This window comes from Homo sapiens, chromosome 6 (assembly GCF_000001405.40).
Source record: "Homo sapiens chromosome 6, GRCh38.p14 Primary Assembly".
Taxonomy (NCBI): domain Eukaryota; kingdom Metazoa; phylum Chordata; class Mammalia; order Primates; family Hominidae; genus Homo; species Homo sapiens.
This window is the reverse complement of record NC_000006.12, coordinates 13,469,148-13,495,057: the sequence shown is the minus strand read 5'-3', so window position 1 is coordinate 13,495,057 and position 25,910 is coordinate 13,469,148. Positions and strand designations below refer to the sequence as shown.

At 46.0% G+C, this 25,910-nt stretch overlaps 1 protein-coding gene and 1 long non-coding RNA gene across 5 annotated transcripts in view, besides 10 other annotated features; one reads left to right on the top strand and one right to left on the bottom strand.

Annotated features, from left to right (window-relative positions):
• Positions 6,407-6,536: an enhancer, noted in NCBI's record as "active region_24034". NCBI's record gives its function as "activates an Ori minimal core promoter by ATAC-STARR-seq in GM12878 lymphoblastoid cells {active_cell/tissue: GM12878}" and the evidence as "EXISTENCE:reporter gene assay evidence [ECO:0000049][PMID:35858748]".
• Positions 6,597-6,706: a silencer, noted in NCBI's record as "silent region_16932". NCBI's record gives its function as "represses an Ori minimal core promoter by ATAC-STARR-seq in GM12878 lymphoblastoid cells {active_cell/tissue: GM12878}" and the evidence as "EXISTENCE:reporter gene assay evidence [ECO:0000049][PMID:35858748]".
• Positions 7,087-7,466: a silencer, noted in NCBI's record as "silent region_16931". NCBI's record gives its function as "represses an Ori minimal core promoter by ATAC-STARR-seq in GM12878 lymphoblastoid cells {active_cell/tissue: GM12878}" and the evidence as "EXISTENCE:reporter gene assay evidence [ECO:0000049][PMID:35858748]".
• GFOD1 (Gfo/Idh/MocA-like oxidoreductase domain containing 1) overlaps positions 7,458-25,910 on the top strand; it is a 129,771-nt gene continuing 111,318 nt past the window's right edge. Inside the window, exons 1-2 of one of the 4 annotated variants that reach the window (NM_001242629.2) lie at positions 7,458-8,420; positions 24,428-25,790. In NM_001242629.2, the coding sequence (NP_001229558.1) occupies positions 8,168-8,420; positions 24,428-24,621 (447 nt within the window). In that variant the 5' untranslated portion in view covers positions 7,458-8,167 and the 3' untranslated portion in view covers positions 24,622-25,790. Of the gene's footprint in view, positions 8,421-8,913; positions 9,048-22,994; positions 23,078-24,427; positions 25,791-25,910 lie in introns of those variants that run through there. The other 3 variants (NR_038459.2, NM_018988.4, NM_001242628.2) reach the window with 3 other exon arrangements.
• Positions 7,487-7,966: a silencer, noted in NCBI's record as "silent region_16930". NCBI's record gives its function as "represses an Ori minimal core promoter by ATAC-STARR-seq in GM12878 lymphoblastoid cells {active_cell/tissue: GM12878}" and the evidence as "EXISTENCE:reporter gene assay evidence [ECO:0000049][PMID:35858748]".
• Positions 8,097-8,206: an enhancer, noted in NCBI's record as "active region_24033". NCBI's record gives its function as "activates an Ori minimal core promoter by ATAC-STARR-seq in GM12878 lymphoblastoid cells {active_cell/tissue: GM12878}" and the evidence as "EXISTENCE:reporter gene assay evidence [ECO:0000049][PMID:35858748]".
• Positions 8,097-8,270: a biological region, named in NCBI's record as "ReSE screen-validated silencer GRCh37_chr6:13487020-13487183".
• Positions 8,107-8,270: a silencer, noted in NCBI's record as "fragment chr6:13487020-13487183 (GRCh37/hg19 assembly coordinates)". NCBI's record gives its function as "represses an EF-1alpha promoter that drives an FKBP-Casp9 reporter gene in an ReSE screen in K562 erythroleukemia cells {active_cell/tissue: K562}" and the evidence as "EXISTENCE:reporter gene assay evidence [ECO:0000049][PMID:32094911]".
• On the bottom strand, positions 8,287-8,797 carry GFOD1-AS1 (GFOD1 antisense RNA 1). The gene is made up of 2 exons (NR_046709.1): positions 8,605-8,797; positions 8,287-8,377 (listed from the first exon to the last, which is right to left on the bottom strand). It is a non-coding gene; the product is annotated as a GFOD1 antisense RNA 1 (long non-coding RNA).
• Positions 10,842-10,911: an enhancer, noted in NCBI's record as "active region_24032". NCBI's record gives its function as "activates an Ori minimal core promoter by ATAC-STARR-seq in GM12878 lymphoblastoid cells {active_cell/tissue: GM12878}" and the evidence as "EXISTENCE:reporter gene assay evidence [ECO:0000049][PMID:35858748]".
• Positions 14,371-15,570: an enhancer, noted in NCBI's record as "BRD4-independent group 4 enhancer chr6:13479720-13480919 (GRCh37/hg19 assembly coordinates)". NCBI's record gives its function as "activates an origin of replication core promoter dependent on BRD2, P300/CBP, MED14 and CDK7 cofactors, and independent of BRD4, by STARR-seq in HCT116 cells {active_cell/tissue: HCT116}" and the evidence as "EXISTENCE:reporter gene assay evidence [ECO:0000049][PMID:35650434]".
• Positions 22,847-23,141: an enhancer, noted in NCBI's record as "tiled region #12646; HepG2 Activating non-DNase unmatched - State 16:ElonW, and K562 Activating DNase matched - State 6:EnhF". NCBI's record gives its function as "activates a minimal TATA promoter and a strong SV40 promoter by Sharpr-MPRA in HepG2 and K562 cells {active_cell/tissue: HepG2 | K562}" and the evidence as "EXISTENCE:reporter gene assay evidence [ECO:0000049][PMID:27701403]".

The window sequence follows — 25,910 nt, the reverse complement described above, 5'->3', positions numbered from 1 at the left end:
TTATTCTTAAAAATTTATAGTTGTAGGCACAAAAATGTGAATTACTTAATGTCACTGTGGAGTTAAAATAATTAAGATGGTAGCTTTTCTATATTTTATCATATACATACGTATATTTTATCATAACACAAAGACAAAAATATGTAGTTGTGATCATATTATACATACAATACTGACTGGCATTGTAAACCCAACGTCATGCTATAAGCATTTTGTCATGCTATTACATGACGTTAGAAAATGTTTTCATGGCCGGGTGCGGTGGCTCACGCCTGTAATCCCAGCACTTTGGGAGGCCGAGGCAGGCAGATTACCTGAGGTCAGGAGTTCGAGACCAGCCTGGCCAACATGGTGAAAACGCTGTCTCTATTAAAAATACAAAAATTAGTAATCCCAGCTACTTGGGAGGCTGAGGCAGGAGAATTGCTTGAGCCCAGGAGGCAGAGGTTGCAGTGAGCTGAGATCGTGCCACTCACTGCACTCCAGCCTGGCCGACAGAGCCAGATTCAGTCTCAAAAAAAAAAAAAAAAAAAAGTTTCCACGCCTTTGTGGCTAATTTGTTCATTCAACAAGTATTTATTATGTATTAGTGAGGTACCAAGTACTGTTTTAGGCCCTGGGATATAGCAGTAAATAAACCAATAATATCCCTTGCCCCAGTAGGCTTACATTCCTACATTCCAGCCAGGGGCCAAGGAAGTGAACTCAAAGCAGACTGTGGTAAGTGCTGTGAATGGAATTAAACGCGGTGTTGTTGGAGAGCAACAGCAGGGGCTTGGGAAGGATGGCTACCTCAATAGGGTGGGAAGGATGCAACATGTGAATTGAGCCCCAATGGCCTCTCCAGCCAGGAGAATGAAGGGCTGAGGGAAGAGCACTTCCCAGATGAGAAAACAGAAAGTCCAAGTGTCCTGAGACAGGAAAGATCCAGGCAAGACCAAGGAACCAAGGGGAGGTGAGTGTGACTGAGGCAGAAGGGGCATCAGGTCAAGAGTGGGTGGCACTAGAAGTGCAGAGAACAGAGCCACCTGGGTCATGCTGAGGGGTATAGATGGCATTGTCAGTGCAGCGCAGGGAGCAGGGGAGGGCTCTAAACAAGTCAGTTTCATGAGTGATGCTTTTGAAAGCTCTCTGATTACCTATGGATTGCAGAAGGCAAGAGAGTGACAGTGAGTCCTGTTAGAAGGCTACTGCGGTAGTCCAAGGCAGAGTTATGGTGGCCAATACCGTTCCATGCCTCTGTCCCCGAGGAGCCGCACCACAAACACAGTGTTGCTTTTCCTGACCTGGACTGCAGCTCTAGTAACCCCCTGCTTAGGGAGCCTGTTGACCTGTGTTAGAAGGGGAATTAAGTGTGCTTCCCTTCCCTACAGGGACCAAGTGCTTGCAGGGGAAAATAGGGGCTGTGGTACCCTATTATACCACAATGTAAGTTCAAGGGCAGCATGCTCAGTGGTCACATACTCTGATTTTGAAATTAGGTGATTTAGTTCAAATGCTTGCCTTTATGATCTCAGGAAAATTACTTAACTTTAAAAAATCTATCAGTTTCTTTTGTAATAATGGGGATAATTGTATCTTCCTGAAAGAGCTAAATGTAAATATATGCAAAGTGCTTAGCTTAAAAACAAGTTGGGCCTGGCTTGTTGGCTCATGCTTGTAATCCCAGCACTTTGTGAGGCTGCAGCGGAAGGATCATTTGAGCCCAGGAGTTCGAGACCAGCCTGGGCAACATAGTGAGATCCCATCTCTCAGAAAAAAGAAAAGTGCTTAGCTTAGTGCATCACGTATAATGAACACTTAGTAAGTGGCACCTATTATTAACAACAAAAAGAACAAAGAGTTGAATGTATAATGATGAATGGATGCTTTTAAAACTCTCCTAATGAAAACTAGTTCTGGAGCATATCTCAGTGCTAGGAATATTAGACTGTTTATAGACCTTTACTATTCAAGTTTTTGAACCTGGCAAAGCTATAATTCCACAAAAAGCAAAAGTATTTCATTCCACAGACATTAAGATTTATAGGAACACTGGGCATCTATGGACAGTCAACTAAAAAGAATCAAAGCCTGTTTCTACTTTGTGTCATAAAGAACAATAAACAAATCTAATTAAAGAGCAAAACTTTTCTATTTCATTAAAATAGTAACATATTTCCAATATTGTGGAAGCAAGTAAACCAAACTATTTACAGTGGCTGTGTAAGGATAGAATGATTAAGGCTGACTTCGTCTTATTTTCTAAAATGTCTGTAATACGTACAAATGACTCTTACAGTGAAAAATACCTTAAATTATCATTAAACTAAATTAATATGAGAAGAAATTCCATTTTATCATCATCTTAGAGATAGGAATACAATTATTTCATTTATTTTATTTCATTTTATTATTACTATTATTATCATTTGAGACAGGGTCTTGCTCTGTCTCCCAAGCTGGAGTGCAGTCAATCATAGCTCCTGCAACTTTCAACTCCCGGGATTATGCAATCCTTCTCCCTCAGCCTCTCAAGTAGCTGGGGCTACAGGCACGCACACCATTCCTGGCTAATTTGAAAAAAGTTTTTGTAAAGACAGGATCTTTTTATGTTGCCCAGGCTGGACATTTATTTTCAGTGACATTCAACTGGGCCTAAAATCTTCACACAAATGCAAAAAGTAGAGGCTGGCAGCTAAATCATGGATGGAGGGAAAGAAAATTTTAGGCTTATTTTCAGAACTGTTTTAAAATGTCAGAACCTCAGGTTGTGTTACAGGTTGGGATTCAGGATCCACGGTTTAAGAGGGTTTCACATGGGCCGGGCGCAATGGCTCACGCCTGTAATCCCAGCACTTTGGGAGGCTGAGGTGGGCGGATCATGAGGTCAGGAGATTGAGACCATTCTGGCTAACACAGTGAAATCCCATCTCTACTAAAAATACAAAAACTTAGCCGGGTGTGGTGGCGGGCATCTGTAGTCCCAGCTACTGGGGAGACTGAGGCAGGAGAATGGTGTGAACCCGGGAGGTGGAGCTTGCAGTGAGCTGAGATCGTGCCACTGCACTCCAGTCTGGGTGACAGAGGGAGACTCCATCTCAAAATAAATAAATAAATAAATTAATTAATTAATTAAAAAAAGAGGGTTTCACATGAAGAACTTGAAGAATAAGACTCGTCTGTGGGGACCATGTGCACAGGCACTGTGTGTGCAAAGGTCTTTATCATCAGAACCTCAGAATAGATGCATGCTCAGAGTTATCCTCCCATGCCCAGGATGGATGAAGCAAGACCTGCCTAACTAGTGAGGACACAAGTGCACGCCTAGCTTCTCCACTAGCCTCAAGCTGAGAAATGACGCCAACATTTTTTTACTCTCCTCCCATGTCCAATTAGCTGCCAGGCCCAGGAGACTTCATCTCTTTGTTATCTCATGATATCTCTGTGCTGGTATCTTCATTCCCATAACTGCCACCTTTCTTAGTCCTCTTTCCCTCACTCTGGGGTCACTGCAGTGGGCTCCCTGAAGGGCTGGGTCCAGTGGCCCCTCACGAGACACCCTCTGTACTGGAAGTTGAGTAATGGCTCTAAAACACCAATCTAATTATTCATTCTCCCCACCATGTTCTGGCCTCCGCATACAGCTTTCCACCTTGAGTTAGCCTGTTCATAGCTTTTCTCTGTCGAGACTATTCTCCTCTCTTTCTTCTGGCTAACTCCAGGAAGTCTTTCAAAACCTGGGCCCAGCCCACTTCTCTCAGTGCATGTCTTCACAGTCTTCCCATTCAGATTTCAGAACCCTCCTCTGCTCTCGAATCAACCCATGCAGACCAGTCTTATGGGTGCGTCATGTTGTGTTGCCATGGCCAATTCATGTCATCAATCAATGGGCTACCAGGCGTAAGCAACCTGGGGGCAGGGGCTCTGTCCTACTCCACTGTGCATCTCCATTGCATGTGCCATTCTTGCACACGGCACTTGGCACGGTTCTGATGACTTTATAAATATTAACTTATAACAACACATGATTGTTAGAGGAATGTGCAAGCATTCATTCAACAAATGGGTACTGAATATCTAGCAGGTGCCAGGTACAATTTTAGGTGTTGGGGATTCAGAAGTGAATGAGACACCCAAACTTCTTATCTCAGTGAATTTGTAACCTGTCAAGGCAAATGAATGATAAACAGATAGGCAGGCATATAATATAATGTGAGGCAGTGACAGGAGGTATAAAGAAAAATAAAGCTGGACAAAGGGATGAAATATGACAGAGTTGTCATTTTAGATGAGATGGTCAGGCCAGGCAGTCTGAGCAGAGGCTTGAGCAAAGTGAGCAGAGAGCCCCGTGGATTTGTGTGTGTATGTGTGTGTGTGTTGGGGTGGGGGGAATGGGGTGTCAGGCAAATGAAACAGCAAGTGCAAAGGCCCTGGGGCAAGAACAAACTCAGCCTGTAAAGAGCACAGCAAAGAGGCCAGAGTGCTGGAATGCAGGGTATGGGGAGGTATGCAATAGGCCTATGGGTTAGGCCAGGTAGAGTCTTTCAGGCATGCTGAGGCCTTTGGAGTTGATTTGAAGTGTGAAGGGTATTCACTGGCAGGTGCCAAGCATGACGGGTGATGATTCAACTTATCTTTTATGGGATCTATGGACTACGAGGGGCATCACTGGAAGCAGGTAGACCAGTAAGGACAGTGGTCCTGATAGTGATGATGGTGACTTTGACTCCCCAACCATGGCAGGGAGAGGTGGGCAGACTCTGGATGCATTCTGCAAGTGGAGCAGACAGGATTTGCTGATGGTTGGCTATAAAGGATATGAGGACCAGATGACTCCATGGCTTTTGGCCAACTGGTGAACTGGTGATTTTATTTATTGATGAAGGAGGAATGGCTTGAGAGTAAGGTTGGAAATGAAGTATTCTGTTTTAAACCTTTAAGTTGGACTTGCTAGCAGGACATAGTTTTGCCTTCTATGAAATGGAGATAATGTTTATTTATAAATTTTAATGAGAATAAAATGTGATCATTTTCTTTGATGTTATATAGATAGAAGGTCTCTTTTCTTTTTTAGAGAAAAGGTCTCCCTCTGTCACCCAGGCTGGAGTGCAGTGGCATGATCAAGGCTAGGCCCACTGCAGCCTTGAACTCCTGGGCTCAATCCCACCTCAGTCTCCCAAGTAGCTGGGACTACAGACACACAACACACCACCATGTCCAGCTAATTTTTAAATTTTTTAGGAAATGAGGTCTTGCTACGTCGCCCAAGCTGGTCTAGAACTTCCGGCTTAAGCGATACCCCTGGTTAGGCCTCCCCAGTCAGTGGGATTATAGGTGTGAGCCACCACAGCAGGCTTAGAAGGTCCATTTTTTATTCACACTCAAGCTAGGGGTAGAGTTCTTTTTAAAAGAACACAAACAAAACTCCATCTTATTACTTAGATATTGCTTCACTGTACAATGGTCTCTCTCATCAAGAAATGACATTGGTAACAGACCCATTCTCTATATTTATTTATTTAACATTTATATAGAACTTACTATGCACCATGCCTTATTCTCAGGACTTTGTAAGTATTAGTGAATACGATCCTGTAAAACCCCTTGTGGTATATACCATTATTACCCACCCATTTTATAGATGAAACTATGCCGCAGAGAAGTGATTTGCTCAAGGTCCCACAGCTAGTAAATGGCAGAGCCAGAAGTCAACGCCAGTGGCTCTAGCTGTGCTCCGACCACTACTGCACATCCTCTGCTCCCTGAAAGCCTGGCCATCTCTGACATGTGACAAGCCTGTGATGTATCCAGCCCCTTGGGTCTGACACCACTGCCTGCCCCTGTGCCCAGATAGGCGTTCCTGCCTTGGTTCTTACAAAACCCCTGCTCAAAAGAAGCCTGTTAGTATTGAGGGCAACACCCCTCTTTGTCTCTCAGTCCTCCCCAGGCTGCTGCCAGCCACCCAGCACTGTGTCCTTTGTGCCTTTCTTCTAATGCCCTAGGTCAGCCTCCACCCCGCATTGCCACACACAGCTTTTTTGGTATCCTGCTCTCTCCACGCGCCCCGCCTCACTGCCAGTTGTTACAAGTTGTTTTAAACTCTTGCAAGTATCACGTTTTCCACTCGTGTTGCGGCAGACCATGTGCTACATTGAGCCCAGTGCTGAAGACAGGAGATGAACATGACCTGACCCATGACCTCTCCAGAGACCTTCAGCTAGAAGACGTGCCTTTCACTTTTTAGTCCCCTCTCCCGGCACCAAATGGGTGCGAAGCGGGCATTCGATGAATATGCATACATTTATTTAGCAAATGTTTATTGAGCGCCTACTACATACAGGGCAAGGCAGTGTGCCAGGTGCCAAGGATATGGCGGAAAACCAGACAGACGCAGAGTCCCCATGGCTCCAGAGGTGCGGGGCCAGCCTTGGCCAGTCCTCCTCAGTGCCCCCTCGAGGGCCTGGGAAGGGTGCAGGGTGGTGGAGGTGGGGGCAAGCTGGGAGAAGTAAAGGCTGCGGTAAGTGGCGACGGCAACAGGAGCCGAAGCAAGAGGCGGGCGTGGCATGTGGCCAGGGCGACGTATCCGTCTCGAAACTAGACACGAGACGCACGTGCCGCAGCGGCCTCGGAGACCCCCTGCCCCGCTGCGGCCGTACACACCACAGCGTCTACGCGGGGGCGGGCATGGGCCTAGGGGCGGGGGAGGTGGGAGGCAGATGGGAGCCCGCCAAGACTGGACTGTCTTGGAAGAAGGCGGCTGAACCGTGCGTGCGCGGCCGGAGCGGGGGCGCGCGATTGGAGCAGGCTAGCTTGGAAGGAGACCGTAGAAGTCTGCGGTTCCGTGCCCAGACTCTGGGGCCTGGATTCCAATCGCAGGCCTGTTGCTTATATATGTCACCTTGCGCAAGTCCCTTAGCCTTCATTGCGGCTCATTCACATCACTGGTAAAATGGGTTTACAATAACCTTAGGTTGCTGCGAGGACTAAAAGGGACAATACCTGGAAAGGCGTTAGTATGATGCTCAGCACGCAAGAAACGCTCCGGGAGCCGAGGTTATTATTATCGGCTGTTCGCACCTCGCCGGGTCCCCTCACCTACCCCAGGCCAAGGCGCCCACTGCTCTCTTCCAAGGGACAGGCGACTAACCTATTAGGGCGCGTCCTGCCTAGATAGATGTATTTGCTTGGTTGGGGCGGGGTTTGGAGTGAAGCAGGGAAGAGAAGGAGATGGTGAGGGCAAAGAAAGGGAAGAAGCGGAGGGGCAGGAGGCGGGCGAGGCGGCCTGGGCGGGGCCGGGGAGGAGCCGGGCTGGGCTCCCGGGGCCCGGGCGCAGCGCGCACCCGGAGCTGGCGGCGGCGGGGGCGGGGGCGGCGCGCGGCGGCCAATGGCGCGCGGCGCTGCAGCGAGGGCGGTGCAGGAACACCGGCCGCTGACAGCCAAACTCGCCAACTCCGCCCTCGTCCCCGCGGGATCCCAGAGCCTGAGCCGGCCTGGGGCCGAGGCCGCCCGAGCCGCGAGGCGAGCGAACATGGCAGCAGAATGAGGAGGCTGGCGCCGGGTCGTGGCCGCCGCTGCCGCGCTGCAGCTCGGGATCCCAGTCCGGCGCGCTCCGGGCCGCATCCTTAGCCGGCCTCCTGGCGGCCGCGGGATTATTTCATTCCCAACGGAGAGCTAGGAAGAAAGGAGACTCCCCCGCGGAGCGGTTCCGTGCTCTGGCAGGGTGTAGACGTTTGTCTGTGCGATTCGCCGGCTGCGCAAACGACGCGGGAGAGAGCCGGTCCCGGGCTGCGGCGGCGCGGCCGCGGGGATGAGCCGGCCATGGAGCGGCCTTGGCGGGGCGCACGCAGCGGACTGGCGCTGCCGCGGGAGCGCAGCCTGAGCCGGGGCTCCAGGGGGCTTCGAAGCCTCCGGCGCCCTGGGGGGGTCCCTGCCGCCGACTCCGGGAAGGACGCGAGCCCCGCGTGGCGGACACTGCCGCAGTCACCGTTCTGAGGCGCCCCGAGCTTGCTCCGCCTGCAGCTCGGTGCGCTCTGGGCACCCGGGCGCCTTGCCCGGTGCACGGCGGCTGGCGCACCGCGGCTAGATTGGCTACAGGAGCGGGGTGCAGGACTGGCTAGAGGTGGGTGTGTGCGCGCGTTGGACTGGAGATCCGAGCAGAAGCAGAACCAGGCGGCTCTGAGCAGCCATGCTTCCCGGGGTGGGCGTGTTCGGCACCAGCCTCACGGCCCGTGTCATCATCCCGCTGCTGAAAGACGAGGGCTTCGCGGTGAAGGCGCTGTGGGGCCGCACGCAGGAAGAAGCGGAGGAGCTGGCCAAGGAGATGAGTGTCCCCTTCTACACTAGCCGCATTGATGAGGTGCTGCTGCATCAGGACGTGGACTTGGTGTGCATTAACCTGCCGCCGCCCCTCACCAGACAGATCGCTGTCAAAACCCTAGGTGAGCGACCCCTACCCCGCATCCTCCGTCCCACCCCCGCCCTTTAACCTTCTCTAGGTTCCTTCCCCCCTGCCTTTCCCTCTCCGCATCCCAGAAGCTTACCCTGCATCTACGCTGCCCCGGGGATCTGAGATCCCAGATCCGACTCAGAGCTCCCTCCTTCCTCGTCCCCGGCCTTCCCCACCTTTGCGCTTCCCTCCTGCCTCCTGGCACCACTTGGACGCGCTTCCCCACGTGTGTAGATTGCAGGCTGGAGAAGGCGTGTGTTCCGGGGATCCGAACTAGGAAGATCAGATGCCGATAATAGGGGATAGGGTGCTCCGCGAGAAGAGGAAAGTTACTCCTCAGCTGTGTGTGTAGTGTCCAAGTGTGTGTGTGTGGGGGGGGGGGATGGGGGGGTGGAGGAGGGTTGTGCGCGCGCGCGCCTGGGAGAGGCGAGTGCGCGCCCAGAAACGCCTGAATAAAAGGCCGCACACGTGTGTCGGGTTTTCTTGGGTGCGATAGAGGACCTGCCCTTCAGCAGCGGTGGCGCCCTGCTAGGGTCGTTTGTTTCTTTCTGCTGTGAGTTAGTTTAGCGTGAGATTGCAGATGTTACCATCGGCTGGAATTATTTCGTCTGCGCTGGAGGCAAGGACGGTGGGAGTGGTTGGATGGGGGTGATGATGTATTAGAATGTTTTCAGAGGCGTCATAGGTTAGTAAAGACTGATTTGGTAAAACCAGGGGGTTTTAACTTTTGACTGCAGCCTCCCGGGAAATGTCTTCTGCCCCAATTTGGAGTAATAGATTTTAAATTTTTAGGAGGATGGGCGCAGTAGCTCCAGAGGCATGGATGCTTTGCATGAGAAAAGGCCCTCCCTAATCGCCTTCAGGAATAGTTTCGGAAGGCACAGTGTTGACCCGTGGGCTGGAGATGAGTTCAGGGTGCCTCACCATCTGGTCCCTGCTCCCCTCAACTCCCAGGCAGTCTGAACAATCTCTGAGGACAGAGTAGCAGCCTCTCAGCCTATGCTCAGGGGAAAGAGAAGGGCATGTTTTGTTCATCATCAGTTCTTGCACGTAACCTAAAACAATCCCAGGAAGGTTGCTTGATCTTACAATTCCAAGAAAATGAGCAGCTCACCTTTGAAAGCTGAAGTTTCTATTGGTGAGGAAAAACACAAAGCTTATAACAAGAACAAAGCTTATAACCAGATGAAGCGAATAGTAGAACAGATTAGAAGGGAGGAGCTGCGAAGGAACAGAGACAACATCCAGAAACCAGCCGGAAGTTATGTAGTCTTGGAAAGACTGTTTTATTTGTTAAAAATAGGTATGGATTCAGGGTAGGTGAAATATACGTGTGTTTTAATTCTGTCTTCGAAGAGCTATGAACAGAATGTAAAACTCTTTCTCCATAGAAAGGCATTTTCATCAGGCCATTTGGCTATTGACTCAGATGCAACATCTGATAGAATTCCTAAGGAGGCTGCCCACATTGTCAGTTTTAATTGTCAGTTAATTTTATTAAGTGTCTGCCCTTTGTGGCCTGTTTCTTTGGCCTTGAACTGAATGCCATTGAACTGAATGCTAATATTTATTTTCTGTTTAATGGAACATGTATGTTGGGTGGATAACTCCCTTGTTTACATTGGCTCTTTGCATATCAAATATCTTATAACGATCTTATGGTATAATTCTATTAGTGCAATTTGTACAAAACTGGTCCCTGATGAGCCCTGCGTATACTGGAGAGCTTAGGACTGGTCATATCTGAAAGACCATGTTGTTAACATCGTTTCTCCACCATAAAGATGGCAGTTCCTGTCCTGGGTTCAGACCCACAGAGCAAACCTAGAGCAGGAGGGTGGCAATTTGGGGAACAAGGATGACCTTGTTTTCTGGCTGTCTCTGGGACCATGGCCATGAAAGTGTCTGGGGGCTCTGGTTTCAAGAGATGTGACACAAATTAGACATTTCTGGATACTTCTTCTGTTCTTATTTTTCAAATATCCCTGTGACTTTAATTAACAAGACATGTCTGTTACCTCTTCAAAACCAGCGATAAGAGGCATAATAGACCTAGTTTAGTAATGGTGATGACAGAATAGGGTTTTGTTCATGTTTTTAGGGTAGGTTTTGAGCTTCTTTCTTCTTTCTTTTTTTAACTCCTTCTTTTGCAGGGTGCCCCTGCGAGTGCACAGTGGGGTGGTCGTCTTGGTTTGCTTTACAGTCACTGTTGAAGGTTCAACACATAGAACGTAGGAAGTGAAAAACCCCAAACAGTTATCAGGCTGATCTGGCTGTTGGGAGTGTATAGATACGAGTGTTTGCCTGGAATTGAAACTAGCTACTTTGACTCATCCTGGTAAATTGTCCTTTTAGCAAAGGCCTGGACTTTGAATTGCTTGCCCAGTGAGGGTGACAGGTCTGTAGCCTTCGATCCACACTCATAACTGGTCACAGGCCTGTCAAAGTAAGGGGCTAGGGACCCTACTTTGTAGGGACCCTACAAAGTGTGGTCTAGGGACCACAGTGAAATGAAACTTCAGATCAATTGAATCACACACATCCTCCTTTAATTTTTAAAAATTTCCTCAAAATCCCTACCTTTGTGAATGAGGCATTCCTCTGTTGTAGAGGCATTTCTACCAAGTGTACTTTCTACACTGTCCAAGGCTGCCTCTTATTAAGTACATACTGTATGCCAGGCAGCATGGTAAGTGCTGTGTATAAAGCATTTCATTTCATGACTAAAATAATCCTCTAAGATAGATATTAGCTCCATTTCACAAATGAAGCAACTGAGATTCAGAGACCTGAGTCACTTTGCTCCTAGACCTACAGCTAGAGATTTGAACCCAGCACTCTACCTCCCCCGGAGTCATTTCTTCCTCTTCCATCAGCTGTACCTGTTCCTCTGCCATAGATCATGGCAGCCCAGGTCAGACTGTTGGAGTTGTCCTTTATTCCATCCCAGCCCTGGAATCGGTTCCCAAACCTGTTTGATGCCATCTGAAACTCTCTGTGTCTGTTCCCCATAGAAGTCAGGTCCTTTCGTAGTTTCTGAACTAGGTTCCAGTCCACCCCACCCAACCCTGCCTCTAGCCACTATCTACACTGCTGCCAGGTATGGAGTATCTGGCAGTGCTAGAGACCTGGTCATGTCATCGTTTCCCCTTTCAGGAAAAGCCCCAGCTGATTGGCGTGACATGCCCAGCCTCACATCCTGAAGAAGTGAGCCCAGCCTCACGTCCTGGTGGCCATTCCCGAACCCAAGGGCTTCAGCGAGCCCACCCTGCTGGGGTTTCCTTGAATGGGCCCTGTTGGCGCACATGTCCAGGTCTCTGTCAGGAACTTCCTTGTCCCTTGAGGTCTCCTTCCATGTTCGCCCTTCAATACTCAGCCCAAGTGTTACCGCTTCCTCTCCCTCAAACCCCCCACCCTACATACCCTTCTGTTGTCTCAGCACTGTGTGCCCCCATCTTGCCTAGCACCTATTTTAAGGCATTCATTTAACATTTAAATTTTATTTAGTTATTTTGAATTGGCTATATATTCATGTGGTACAAATTTCAAATGCTATAAAAGTACACAGTGAAGACTGAATGTCCCCTAGTCCCTGTCTTTGGACAGGAGGCAATCATTATTACCAGTTGTTTATGTCTCCCATTCAAGGCCATATATATATGTATATATAACACATAATATATACATATATTTTACATATACACTAATATATAGATGTATATATAACATAAAATATATGCATATATTTTACATAGAGATACACAAATATGTGAAACTCTGAATGTGAAAGTATTAAAAATAATATATATTTTTCAAGGTATATCCTGGCAAGTATATGTATGGGAATTTAATTTAATTTAATCTAATTTTATTTTATTTTTTGAGACGGAGCCTCGCTCTGTTGCCCAGGCTGGGGTGCAATGGTGCGATCTTGGCTCACTGCAACCTCCACCTCCTGGGTTCAAGTGATTCTCCTGCTTCAGCCTCCTGAGTAGCTGGGATTATAGGTGTGTGCCACCACACCCAGCTGATTTTTGTATTTTTTAGTAGAGATGGGGTTTCCCTATGTTGGCCAGGCTGGTCTCAAACTCTTGACCTCAGGTGATCCATCTGTGTTGGCCTCCCAAAGTGCTGGGATTACAGGTGTGAGCCACTACGCCTGGCCTGTGTGGGAATTTTAAAAACCTTTTACACAGTTGGTAGCATGCCATTCATTCTTATGGACCTTACTTTTGTCATGCAACAATATTAGCTTGAAAATTTATATATGTTAAAATTTAAATATTATTTTAAAAATATATTAAATGTATTAAATTTATTACATAAATTTTATATAGTAATATAATCAATGTTAAGCAATATAAATATTAATATAAATTATATTTAATCAGTTAATATGCATTATTAAATTTATGTATATTTATATCTTTACATATACAGCATATACATATACACATTTGTATATATACATATATTAACATATTTATAGATATACATGTATGCACATTTTTATATATATTACAATATATAACATATAATATATACATATATTTTACATATACACAAATATATGAAACTCTGAATGTGAAAGTATTATTGCTCCTATTTTTGGCTACCTAGTATTTCATTGTATGGATACATCAAAATTTATTTAAGCAGTTCCCTGTTACTCAACATTTAGGTTGTTTCCAATTTTGGCTTATACAACCATGTAATGAATAATCTTGAGCATATGTCATTTTGCACACATGCCAGCTTGTTTGTGGGATAGATATGTAAATTGCTGGTCAGAGAGTACATGCTGATTACATTTAACAAAGATATTGCCTAATTAACTGGCACCTAAAATGACACTGTATTTTTTGTTAATTTCCTTGTTGCCTCTCCCAGCAAGCGTCTTGACGGTCAGGACGCAGACAAGGCAAAGAAGCCTCACTCACCTTTGTGTCCCCAAGCCAGCCTGCCTGGGTCCAGTCTTGTTTCTTATGCAGTCTACTCTGTACAATGGGGAAAGTGAGCACATGTGCACACGTGTGTGTGTGTGTGTGTGTGTGTGTGTGTGTGTGTGTGTAAGGTATCACTCTCCACTTTCAGTGGCTCCCACAGCACCTAGAATAACATCCAAGCTCCTTGGCATGACTTTCTTGGCCTGAAATGGCCCTGCCTTGTCCATCTCTCCCACTTCTTGGATGGCTTCACACACTCCTGGACTCTATATTCCGGCCACCTGGCCTCTTTTCTGTTCCTCACATGCCAATCTCTTTCCTGACTCTTGGCCTTTGCACCAGCTCATCCCTTTGCCCAGAAGGTTCTTGCCTCACTTTTTGGAATGGCTAGCTCATTCTCACTTTCAAGTCTCAGCTTACGTGTTACTTTGGGCGAGAGGCCTTTCTGGATCCTCCCCTCCCAATTAGAAAGTTCTCCTCCAACCTCAGTCCTGCTTCTGTCATCCTCTTTCTCTTCCTGGTAACACTCTTCCTGGTGTGTGATGATCTCTTTCATTTGCTTGCTTGCTTTCTTGCTTGCTGTTTGTTTCCCCAGCTAGAATGTGAGTTATTTCAAGGTAGGACCCTTGTCTGCTTGGTTCACCAGGGTACCCTTATCTCCCTTAGACAGTGCCAGACACTTAGTCACCTAGTAGACACACTATGAATATTTATTGAATGACAAATGAATGCATTTTCACTGAATACATGTATGCCTGGGGGAAGGCAAAAGGTTCTAAAGAGAATGTGTCAATTAACACATAGTATTCTTATCCTCCTGCATGCAGTAGCTGAATGCCTCTCAGACTTTCATGTGTGGTTGTATCACCTGGGGATCTTATCAAAAAACAGATTCCAGGTCAGGCACAGTGGCTTACACCTATAATCCCAGCACTTCGGGAGACGGAGGCAGGAGGATTGCTTGAGCCCAGGACTTCGAGATCAGCCTGGGCAACATAGTGAGATCTTGTCTCTAGCCAGGCATGATGGTGCATGCCTGTAGTCCTAGCTACTTGGGAGACTGAGGTGGGAGGATCACCTGAGGCCTGGAGGTCAAGGCCCAGATCATACCACTACACTCCAGTCTGGGCGACAGAGTGAGACCCTGCCTCAAAATAAAATAAAAACCAGATTCCTGGGTGGGACCTGAGATTCAGAATTTCTATCCAGCCCTCAGGCAGTGTGGATGCTGGAACAGTCAGACACTAAAGATGAGATAGCTCTCTGCCTTTGGGAACAGAAGACATACCCTCCTGTGAGTAATTAACCTGGCAGGGGAACCGTGCTAAAATACCTGTTGCCTTGTGTGGAATGTGATGACATCTGTTTTCATGATCTCTGTTTTTGAGACAGCAGTGCAGACTCTCTTGGTGAAGTTTCTCCATGGGAGTGCAAGGCTCTTTTGGGATGGTGAGTAAGGCCACAGGGTTTCCATGAGCTTTGATCTTGCTGCACATTGATCTTGTCCCAACTTGTTTGGCGTCATCAGCTGAGGACCTGGAGCAATTGGCCCTTTTCTGTCCTTCTTCATGGTGTCAGCAGTTGCTTCATGTTGAAGAGGGCTGCCAGGAACAGAGGTGAGGGAGCAAGGAGGAAATGGGGTTGAGAGAGGATTTTGCTGGCCAGCATTGCCACGCCAGCGGAAATAAGGCTGCAGATAATGCTCATGATGCACTTGGACTTGACAGCAGCCATTCTGACATCCTAGCAAACCCTGCATTTCCAGTTCTTGCTTGAGGTCTCTTCTGGATCTATGTGAAAAAGGTGATTGCGTTTTTCTCTTTGGGTTCCTGCCCCTGAGCACTGAGTGAAATGATTTTTGGTCTATCAATTTGTCGTAGAGCCGAGGAAGCCCTTGGGCATTATTGTTAGGAAAAGTCAAGCATCACCAATCTCATTTCATCTAATTGAAATTAGGTGCAGTTGAACGATTATTTTGTTGAGGATATCTGGCTTTGATAATGTGCAATTCTGCAGAAGTTTCCACTGGAGGGAGAAGAAGCTAAATGAAGAAGTTGGACATTTTGATACCTTAAACTGGGGAAGAAGAGCAACAACAAAAAGTGGAAGTCAATAGCATGTTTTAAGGGTTTCACCAAGAATGAAATATACAGGCACTTAGTTATATATTTGACTCAGGGCAATCATAGCCCAGGAAAGAGCATCATTATATAAGATGTTGTGCTTCATAACACTCATCAATGAAAGGAAAGGTTGACAGGTTACTACTGTGTGACTTTGGGAGTCATAATCATCCTTCCTGAGCCTCAGTTTTCTTACCAATAACACACAGCTAACACTATCATATAGGGTTGGTGTGATAAGTAAAATGAGAGGGAAAATATAAAGACCTACCTGGCAGCTGCCCTCAGCTCTCTGCATCAAGCTCAATAAACAGTAGTTTTTACTTTGCCCTAATGCAGTTAGTTCTTTTTAAAATTTTTAAAAATTTTTAAGTGAGTAGTTCTTTAGACTCTTCCAAATGGTGCTTTTGAAGATTTTTTAAAACTATTTTTTGAAGAGATGATTCCCTCCTGTAAGACTCAGAGACTATATTTAAATTTTTTCTTTTTTTTTTTTTTGGTAAAGGGATGGTACCTAAGCCAAGCTTCAGGTGTCATATTTGCTGTGAATCCAGTACGTGCTTCACAGCTACGTGATCACTCAAAGGTACTGATGGGGTTACCAAGAGCTCACCATGCTGCTCTGAAGATTTACTATCCCTTGCAGTGGGGGTGCTTAGGGGGGTTTCCCACATGACGCAGGAACAGGGCTGCAGCAGGGCTTTAGTAGATACCTGGAAACCAGAAACCCTCTGAATTTTATTCTGCTTCTCTCTGTGTGTCTGCTTCCTCATTCACCCCTCTCTACACCAGCATCCTCTGCTTCACAGGTTCATGTGGTGGGTGAAAGATTGTCCACACGCAGCTCCCAAATATGAACATGACAAGTTCAGCCACCTGAAAGGTGCAGCCCTGCCCCCGCACCCAGCTGTCTCTGTTTGTACCAGATGCTTTCTCCCTGCTCAGTCTTTCCTGTGGTTACCCACGGTGTGGGGGATACATGACCAAATGCTGCGGAGACCACCCTGCTGGAGGGGTGGAGGGATTGTTAAGAGCAGTCATTCTGATCTGGGCTGCACTCTCCAAGAAAAGTGCTGATTCTAAGAATCTAGATGGTGGAAGTTATTACAAATATGGACATTTCGGCTGGGTGTGATGGCCACGCCTGTAATCCCAGCACTTTGGGAGTCCGAGGTGGTGGATCACCTGAGGTCAGGAGTTCGAGACCAGCCTGGCCAACATGCTGAAATCCTGTCTCTACTAAAAATATAAAAATTAGCTGGGAGTGGTGTTGTGCACCTGTAATCCCAGCTACTCGGGAGGCTGAGACAGGAGAATCGCTTGAACCCAGGAGGTGGAGGTTGCAGTAAGCCAAGATTGCACCATTGCACTCCAGCCTGGGCAACAAAATGAAAAAAACTCTGTCTCAAAACAAAAACAACAAACAACAAACCAAATGTAGACATTTCTTGATTGTGTAGGTTTTTTTTGTTTCTTTGTTTTGTTTTTTTTTTTTTTGAGATAGATTCTCACTCTGTTGTCCAGGCTGGAGTGCAGTGGCATGATCTCAGCTCACTACAGCCTCCACCTCCCAGGTTCCAGCAATTGTTGTGCCTCAGTCTCCCAAGTAGCTGGGATTACAGGCATTTGCGACCACGCCTGGCTAATTTTTGTATTTTTGATAGAGATGGGGTCGCCATGTTGGCCAGGCTGGTCTCGAATTCCTGGCCTCAGGTGATCCACCCGCCTCAGTCTTCCAAAGTGTTGGGGTTACAGGCATGAGCCACCATGCCTGGCCTGATTGTGTAGGTTCTTTATCCACTTTGTGAAATACACATTTGGCATTTCACTGTTTTGATAATAACCATAGCAAAACAGTGAAAGAAATAATAGATGTGGTCATCTATTAATACCAACCTAGTTATTATTATTAAATTATTATTAAATTTAAGACATATATATTTTGAAGAGTGTGATGGGAAAGTAGATAAACATGACCAACTGCATGGAGTTCTGTGGTCTTGGTAGGTTTGTAGACCTTTACCAAGAGCCTCCTGGGTAGTGTGTGCAGCAGGTCACAGGAGTGCCACGAGACATAGTCCCTTTCTGCTCAAGTATTGTCTTAGGAGCTTGAAGGAGCCAGGAGTCAGGAAAAGATTGAGGGAGAAGGATTTCTGCCTCCAGACTGCCTTTGTACTGGAAACTGCAACATCAACTCTTCTATGGGTCTCCAGCCTGCCTGTCTGCCTGCCTGCCTGCCCTGCACATTTTAGACTTGCCAACCCCACAATTGTGCGAGCCAATTCCTTAAAACGAATCTCTCATCTACACACACACACACACACACACACACACACACACACACCCCCTATTGGTTCTGTTTCTCTGGTGAACCCTGACTAATACAGATTTTGCCTGGATCAAGGCCACCTGGCTAGGCAAGCTGAGCAAGGAAATACCTGGAAGACGCGTCGGTGGAGAAACTGCTCTGGTTAGTTCCGCTGGTGGGTGTGGGCTCCCTAGGAGAGCAGCAGGCCTCTGAGCACTTGTCCTCAAAGCAGGAGACCTGGAAAGCCAGCGTTCTTTTGGGTTCAGACTTGAGCTAAGGAGATTGTTGGTAAAGAGGCTGTCACACTCACCACTGAGAGCCACAGTGACACTTCACCCCGACCAATTCTATACCCGTCTACAGGTCTTTGACTTCTAGGGTTTGGGCAAGTCTGGGATGCCTTGGGGTTTAGACTTTCCTTGAGAATTGTTGATATCCTACTGTGGAGAATTAAAAAGTGCAGGAAAAATAACTTTACATTAAAATGTTATGATTTAAAAAAATTTTCCAGTCTCTAATTTTAATAGCCTTTAGAGTATTAAGATGCTTCTTTGATTAATGTCCTTAAACTGAAACTATAAATTACTCCACAATTGTAAAGCTCCAATGAAGTTGGTTTGCAGTTTTAACACTACTTTTTAAAAAAATAACTTTATTGAACTATATATACCATAACATTCTTCATTCTTTTTATTTCACAATATTCACCCATTGTAAGTGATTCCATTATTTTTAGTAAATTTATATATTTAGAACATTTTCAACACACTAAAACATTTCCTCATGCCAATTTGCAGTCAATCCTCACTCCCACTTCTGGCTCCAGGTAACTACTAATCTACTTTCTGTCTCTATAGTTTGCCTTTCCTAGAACTTTCATATAAATGGAATCATGAAGTACGTAATCATTTGTGCTTGAGTTCTTTCACTTAGCATAACGTTTTTGATGTTCAGCCATGTTGTTGCACGGCTCAGAAGTTCATTTATCTTTATTGCTGGGTGATACTCCATTGTGTGGATATACCGCATTTTGTTTATCCATTCACCATCTGATGGATGTTTGTATTGTTTCCAGTGTTAAGTGATTGTGAATAATGCTGCTGTGAACATTTGCATATAAGTCTTTTGTGGAGCCATGTTTTCATTTCTCTTGGTTAAATACCTAGGACTGAAATTGCTCAGTTGTATAGTGTGTATATATTTAACTTTTTAAGAAACTACCAAACTGTTTTCCAGAGCAGTGGCATCATATTACATTCCCACTAGCAACATAGGAGAGTTCTAATTTTCTGATATCATCACCAGCACTTGGTATTGTCAGTCTTTTTTTTGAGATAGTCTCACTCCATTGCCCAGGCTGGAGTGCAGTGGCATGATCTCAACTCCCTGCAACCTCCATCTTCTGGGTTCAAGTGATTCTCCTGCCTCAGCCTCCCAAGTAGCTGGGATTACGGGTGTGCGCCACCATGCCTGGCTAATTTTTGTATTATTATTATTATTATTATTATTATTATTATTATTATTATTATTATTTTGAGATGGAGTCTTGCACTGTCACCCAGGCTGGAGTGCAATGGCGTAATCTCGGCTTACTCCAGCTGCCGCCTTCAGGGTTCAAGCAATTCTCCTGCCTCAGCCTCCTGAGTAGCTGAGATTACAGGCATCCGTCACCACACCTGGCTGATTTTTTTTTTTTTTTGTATTTTTAGTAGAGACGGGGTTTCACCATGTTGGTCAGGCTGGTCTCGAACTCCTGACCTCGTGATCTGCCTGCCTTGGCCTCCCAAAGTGCTGGGATTACAGGCGTGAGCCACCGCGCCCAGCCTAATTTTTGTATTTTTAGTAGAGATGGGTTTTCACCATGTTGGTCAGGCTGGTCTCAAACTCCTGATCTCAAGTGATCCGCCCACCTCAGCCTCCCAAAGTGCTGGGATTACAAGCATGAGCCACCATGCCCAGCCTTGTGAGTCTTTTTGATCATAGCCATTATAGTTGGTATGTAGAAGTATCTTGTTAGGACTTTGGTTTGCATTTTGTTAATAATAATTAATGATGTTGAACAGCTTTTCATGTGTTTATTAGACAGTCACATTTTTCTTTGATAAAATGACTATTCAAATCTCATACTCATTTTTAAATTGGGTTGTTTGTCATTTATTGATTTGTAAGCATTGGTTTTGTGATTTTCTTATTTTGTTGAGGTAGCAGACTTCACTTGGGGGAAGGCGTAGAGTTTTTGTTTTTGGTTTCATATACTTCCTCTTATTTTTGATTTTGGAACTAGTACAGCGGAACGAATTCTCCAACCCAAGAGAAATTAGTTTTGCCAAGTATTTACTGAAATGGTTCATGGAGTAGAAGAGAAAGACTACCAGGTGAGGGGTGCTCATGCCTGGGGCTCTGGCATTGCCCAGGGCTGTGAGAATCCACTGAACCCTCTGCCAGGGGCATTTCCAAGTTGAAGATTGTCTTCCAGTAGGGTTTTCTAACCACCTATTCTGCCCAGTGTCTGGAGAGTGTTTCTTTTTTTCCATTTATTTTTAGTTAGTAAATACCTTTTGAATCCCTGTAGCACTATGTTAGCTGTGGTGAGAAATGCCCTATAAAGTAAGACATGGTCTTTGTCCTTGAAAGAAGAGCGCATAGGCAAACATGGAGCAATGCAATGAGATACATGACTAAGTGCAGAGTGACTGGTTATATTCACAATGCCAGGAAGAGCTTGCTTGAGGCAGTTGAGTAATCCCTCAAAAATCATTATTGGATTAAGGGTCGATCACCTGGGTAAGCTTCCCAGTGCCAGTCTACAAAAGGCACTAAGGCAAAGGGGAAAAAAATGGCATTTTTATTTTTATTTTATTTTATTTTTTCCCAAGACGGAGTTTTGCTCTTGTTGCCCAGGCTAGAGTGAAGTGGCACGATCTCAGCTCACCGCAACCTCTGCCTCCCAGGTTCAAGCAATTCTCCTGCCTCAGCCTCCCCAGTAGCTGGAATTACAGGCATGCACCACCACACCCAGCTAATTTTGTATTTTTAGTAGAGACAGGATTTCTCCATGTTGGTCAGGCTGGTCTCAAACTCCTGACCTTAGGCGATCCACCCGCCTTGGCCTCCCAAAGTGCTGGGATTACAGGCGAGAGCCACCGTGCCTGGCAGCAAAAATGTGTTAACAGGATCCCCCTCATAAAACGTTTTGTGTGTTTGAATGAGACACTTGCAGCACAAGGGGCCCGGAAGGGGCTTCCTCTAAGAGCTGGTGAATTATTGCTTCCAGTTTACTGCTGCACATTTGTTTTGTTGAGTAGGGAACATGAGCTTGACATCAGAGATAAAATGAGTGGGGCCCCACTCGTCCCGGGTGCACTTCCCCTCTTTGGTGGGTTGCTGAGAAGGTGGCACTGCAGAGAGTGGGTGCTGCCTGAAAGCTGAGGAAAGGGGCATTCCTGAGAGCTGGAAGGGTCCCAGAAGACCTCTTGGAAAAGGTGGGTTGGTCTTCAACTGGGCCCAGAAGAGGGGGTAGGATTTAAATAATTGAAAAGGAAGACATGGGAGGCTCTATGATATAAAGTCCTCCTCAAGGAACCACTGGTTCTGCGAGATAAACTGTGTGGCTTGCAGTTGACCTGCTAGAGCAAAGTTAGAATGGTTTAAGAATGTCTGAAATTCTACAAATACTTTTCTTCATCAGCAGTAAGTGTCACTTGCATCTTTCTTTCCCTTCGTATCTCAAATGGTGACAGCCACAAATGACAGAGCTCTGGGGTCAGTCAAGGCAAACAGCTTGCTGGAGTGTTGGAAAGGACCCTGTTGAGAGGAGCCCAAATGGCCGCCTTAGAGGGCGTGGGAAGAACTGCAAAAGTTGATTCAGCTAGTAATGCTGTCAAGACAGCTCTGTGTCTGATGGAGTCAGGGGCATGCTATGGTAAACAGAGTCAGCTGTTGAGAGGATGCCTTGAAGGGTGCCCAGCCCCTGGTTTGGTGCTTACATCCGATGGTGGTGGGAGCACCTGTTCTCTTGTTATACAGTTGAGACCTGATGGTGCAAGGGTCAGGGCTGGCTGCAGCAATAATTTACTAGATGAGCAAGGATGCAATAATCTCCTTGGAGAAGGACATTTGCATATGACATGTGGACATGCCTCTCCCATCTTTCATGGTGGGTGGGGCTACAAACTCTGGATTTGTGTCACTGGTGTTTCAAATCCCTTTCTCACCTCCCTTTCTCCTCCCTTTCTCACCTGTCAGCATTCAGAAGTGAGAGCTCATGGAAATGATGATTGTGAGGCTCTCTCAGAGTAGTCTGCCATCTTGGGAGATGGTTTGAGGAAGAGGCCACAGTGGTGGAATGAATAGTTAACTCTTGACTTGGGATCCAGAAGTCAGACAACAGAGCCTTGCAAAGTTACTACGCTGGCTAGGCTTTTAAAAGATCCCTAGATGTGACAAAAATTGTCTATCTTCATTTTTTCTATTTCAAAAGGAAAAGTTCCTTGGCTAATTTGATGTCATTCTGGTGAAAGTAAAGTGATGCTCCTGAAGGCTTTTTTTGGTCAATGGAAAAGGCAGTTTGAAGAGGCTGTCCCATCAGACTTCAGAAAGCTGGAGGCACTACAGAAATGGGTGTGTGGGCACTGCCCGGGGTTGAATCCTTGGCTGGCCATGTGCTATGTGGGTGTGGGCTCCTCACTTAACTCTTTGAAGCCCCAGTTTCTTTATCTGTATAATGGGGATAATAAAAGTACCCATCTCAGAAGGTTGTTGACCTAAACAGGGCTTTGTTTAAAATGAGGACTCAATAAATATGAGAATCTTGCTTAATCAGAACTTATTATGGTGAACTACGGTCCATTTATGATTTTCCTTGAACAAAGATTTATTGAGTGCCAGCTACATACCAGATGCTCTCTGGGTCTGTGCTATGCAGTATGGTAGCCATTAGCCACATGTGGCTGCTTAAATTTACATAAAACTAAATAAAATGAAAAATGCAGTTTTGATGTGGTTTGGCTGTGTCCCCGCTAAAATCTCAACTTGAATTGTATCTCCCAGAATTCCCATGTGTTGTGGGAGGGACCCAGGGGGAGTTAACTGAATCATGGGGGCCGGTCTTTCCTGTGCTATTCTGGTGATAGTGAATAAGTCTCACGAGATCTGATGGGTTTATCAGGGGTTTCCACTTTTCTGTCTCCCTCATTTTCTCTTGCTGCCACCATGTAAGAAGTGCTTTTCACCTCCCCCCATGATTCCGAGGCCTCCCCAGCCACATGGAACTGTAAGTCCAATTAAACCTCTTTTTCTTCCCAGTCTTGGGTATGTCTTTATCAGCAGCTTGAAAACAGACTAATACAGTTTCCTCAGTTGTCCTAGCCACATTTCAAGCACTCAAAGGCCACATGGGGCTGGCTGGTAGCTACCATATTGGACCATGCAACATAGAATATATCCATCATTGCAGAAAGTTCTACTGGACAGCATTAATGGATATAGCAATGGGTAAATCAGTCACTTATGTGAGATCCAAACATGGATTTTTGAGCAACCCCAACCTGTGGGTGTGTTTCATTTTCTCCTGGGAATGTGTTGATAGTCTCCACCTTGGGCTATGGGTGTCTCAATACTAATTAGTAGAGGTTTAACAAGGTCTGGGTGCTGCTTTCTGGATTTATTAGTAAGGACTCTATTATTAATGAGAAGAAGATGTGCTGTGGGAAGTTTCCTAAATTCTTTATTAGACATAGGGACTGAGCAATGAGATAAATGACAGTGCCCCTCCCTGCTCCACCCGCCTTCCCTCAGGTTTATTACAGGACTTTAGGTAGCAGATGGCACGGACCTGGGTGGGGTGATGCCAGGGCAGGAATTCTGCCTTTGCTCATGGGTAGCATCTTCCTTAACCCTCTCAGCCATCCTCTCGGGGAGGTAAGAAAGACATTTTCCCTCCTCAAAGCACCAAGAAGCAAAGGGTCTTAGTAGATGGCCCAGGAAGGTGGTGAGGGGAAGGAAGTATATGCCAGGCCTCTTTGTCCTGCAAGAACTTTCGAGAACACCTGGCAGCTAGCTCCTGAGGACCTGGGCCAGGGGGAGGAATTTTGACTTCAGAGTAAGGTGCTTTCTGCCCTACTGCCAACATGCTGTGCAGTTCCATGGGCAATGGGGTTTCCGACTTTATTCCTCCTCTCTCCACTCCCTTGTCCTTTCCTTCAGCCGAGGGGAGAGGCTACATAAATACTGAAGCATGAAACCTCAACTAATACGTACTTACTGTTTTGCTAATTATTATTGCTTTTTTTTTCTTTCGAGTCCCATTAATGTTGTGAAAGCCACATCCATCTGTGTGAGCAATCTTTAGGGAACTGGGACTGCTAAGTTCCAGCTTGTGGGGGCTTGGAGGGAGAGGTAAGTGTGCATTTGTGAGAGTGTGAGTGCACACACACTACAGTGTGCTGCCCACAGAATGTCTCTTGACTGTAGTCAAGGGCAAAGTAATGATTTTAGAGTACTTGTTATTTAAATGTGTCCCTGGCAGGCTCTTCTTATCTCCCACATGAATATGAATAATCAAAAGTGGGTGGTAGAAAATGAGATGTGTTCCTCTTCTCTGTCTCTTCTCCCTTTCCAACAGAACCAGGACATCAGAGGAAGAAAATCAGCAGACAGAAAAATACTGGGGAAAAAAAAATGCCACGTGGTTCTGTTCAGCTGAGCTTCTGCTCCCTCCAGCACCCCCACATGGGACATTTGTTTACCCCCCACGATGCTGCTCTTGGAGAGTCCCAGGGGACAGGTTTCAAGCCCTTAGGGATGCAGCCTGTCTAACTTAATATGCACAGCCGTTCACATCCAGGGCACAGAGGCAGCCTGGCTTTCCCTGGAGGCCCACGGGGACCACAATGCTGCATTTGTCTGTGGAACTGAGATTTAGCTGCACATTCTTGCCTGAATGCAGCGGGCCTCCAGCCACAGCCTGCTGGCATGGGGGATTCCAGGAGGGATGTGCTTCATGAGCCGGCAATTGCCCTTCTTTCCAGTCCCCAGACCCAGTCAAGATTACAGATAGATGCGTTCATCGCGCGCAGGTGCTGGGGAAGCCAGTGGGACATCACTGGCTACATTCACCAACAGGATTTTCCAACTGCAGTATTTATCGGTTTTTCAAACGAATTCAACATCTGTATTCCTCACCCATTTACTGAGTGGCTACAATGTGTAAGGAAATATTCTCAGTCATGGGGAGTTAGAAAAGGTCAAAGGCATATAAGATATGGCATGTGCTCTGAGAGAACTCATCATCTATCCAGAACCTACTCATCACTTTTGGAAAGAGAAGAGAAACTAGCATTCTATGGAGTACTTACCATGTGCCAGATTTGGTGTGAGACATAGTACGAGTGTTACTCATTTACGTCTCATGGCCAACCTCCAATGTGGACATTTAGCATCTCCATCTTACAAGTGAGAAATTTCACTGTAGAGAGGTTAAATATCATGTGTCATTGATTCTGTGACATGTATTATTTTCACATTTGAACATCTGAAATATAGATATGTCTAAAAGGGCTTTTCTTTCTTGGTAGTAAGATAACTGTAGGTCTTTGCAGTAGTGTCTTAGATTATGTGAAATATGGTATTTTGGCAAGTGTACATGGCTAAGAACAAGTGGAATCAGAATTCAACTTAAGTTTGCTTGACTCCAAAGCTTATGTGTTTTCCAGTATAATGTGCTGCAGTATCAATGGTCTGTATGAACAAAGGCCATATCATTTTTATTGACAAAGTATAGAAACGGGGAAATGGTGACTGAACTGGAACTTGCATCATCTAATTCCATAACTGAGGAGACAATAGCCTGGGGACTGCATGTATCCCACAGGATGTTAAAAAATTGAGAAAATGTTATTTCATGATCTTCACTTCTCTGTTGATTATAACTTATTTTTGAAGAGGCTAAAATAAATGGCAAACTCTTGTATGGATAAGATATAAAAGGCGAGTGTGATGTATTCCTCCATCTGTTCTGGTGTGCTCCAGGCTGAGTGTGGTGCTGTTACCAACAGGGATTCTTTAGGGGATGTGACCAGTGGCCTCTTTACTGTTCTGGAGGGCCA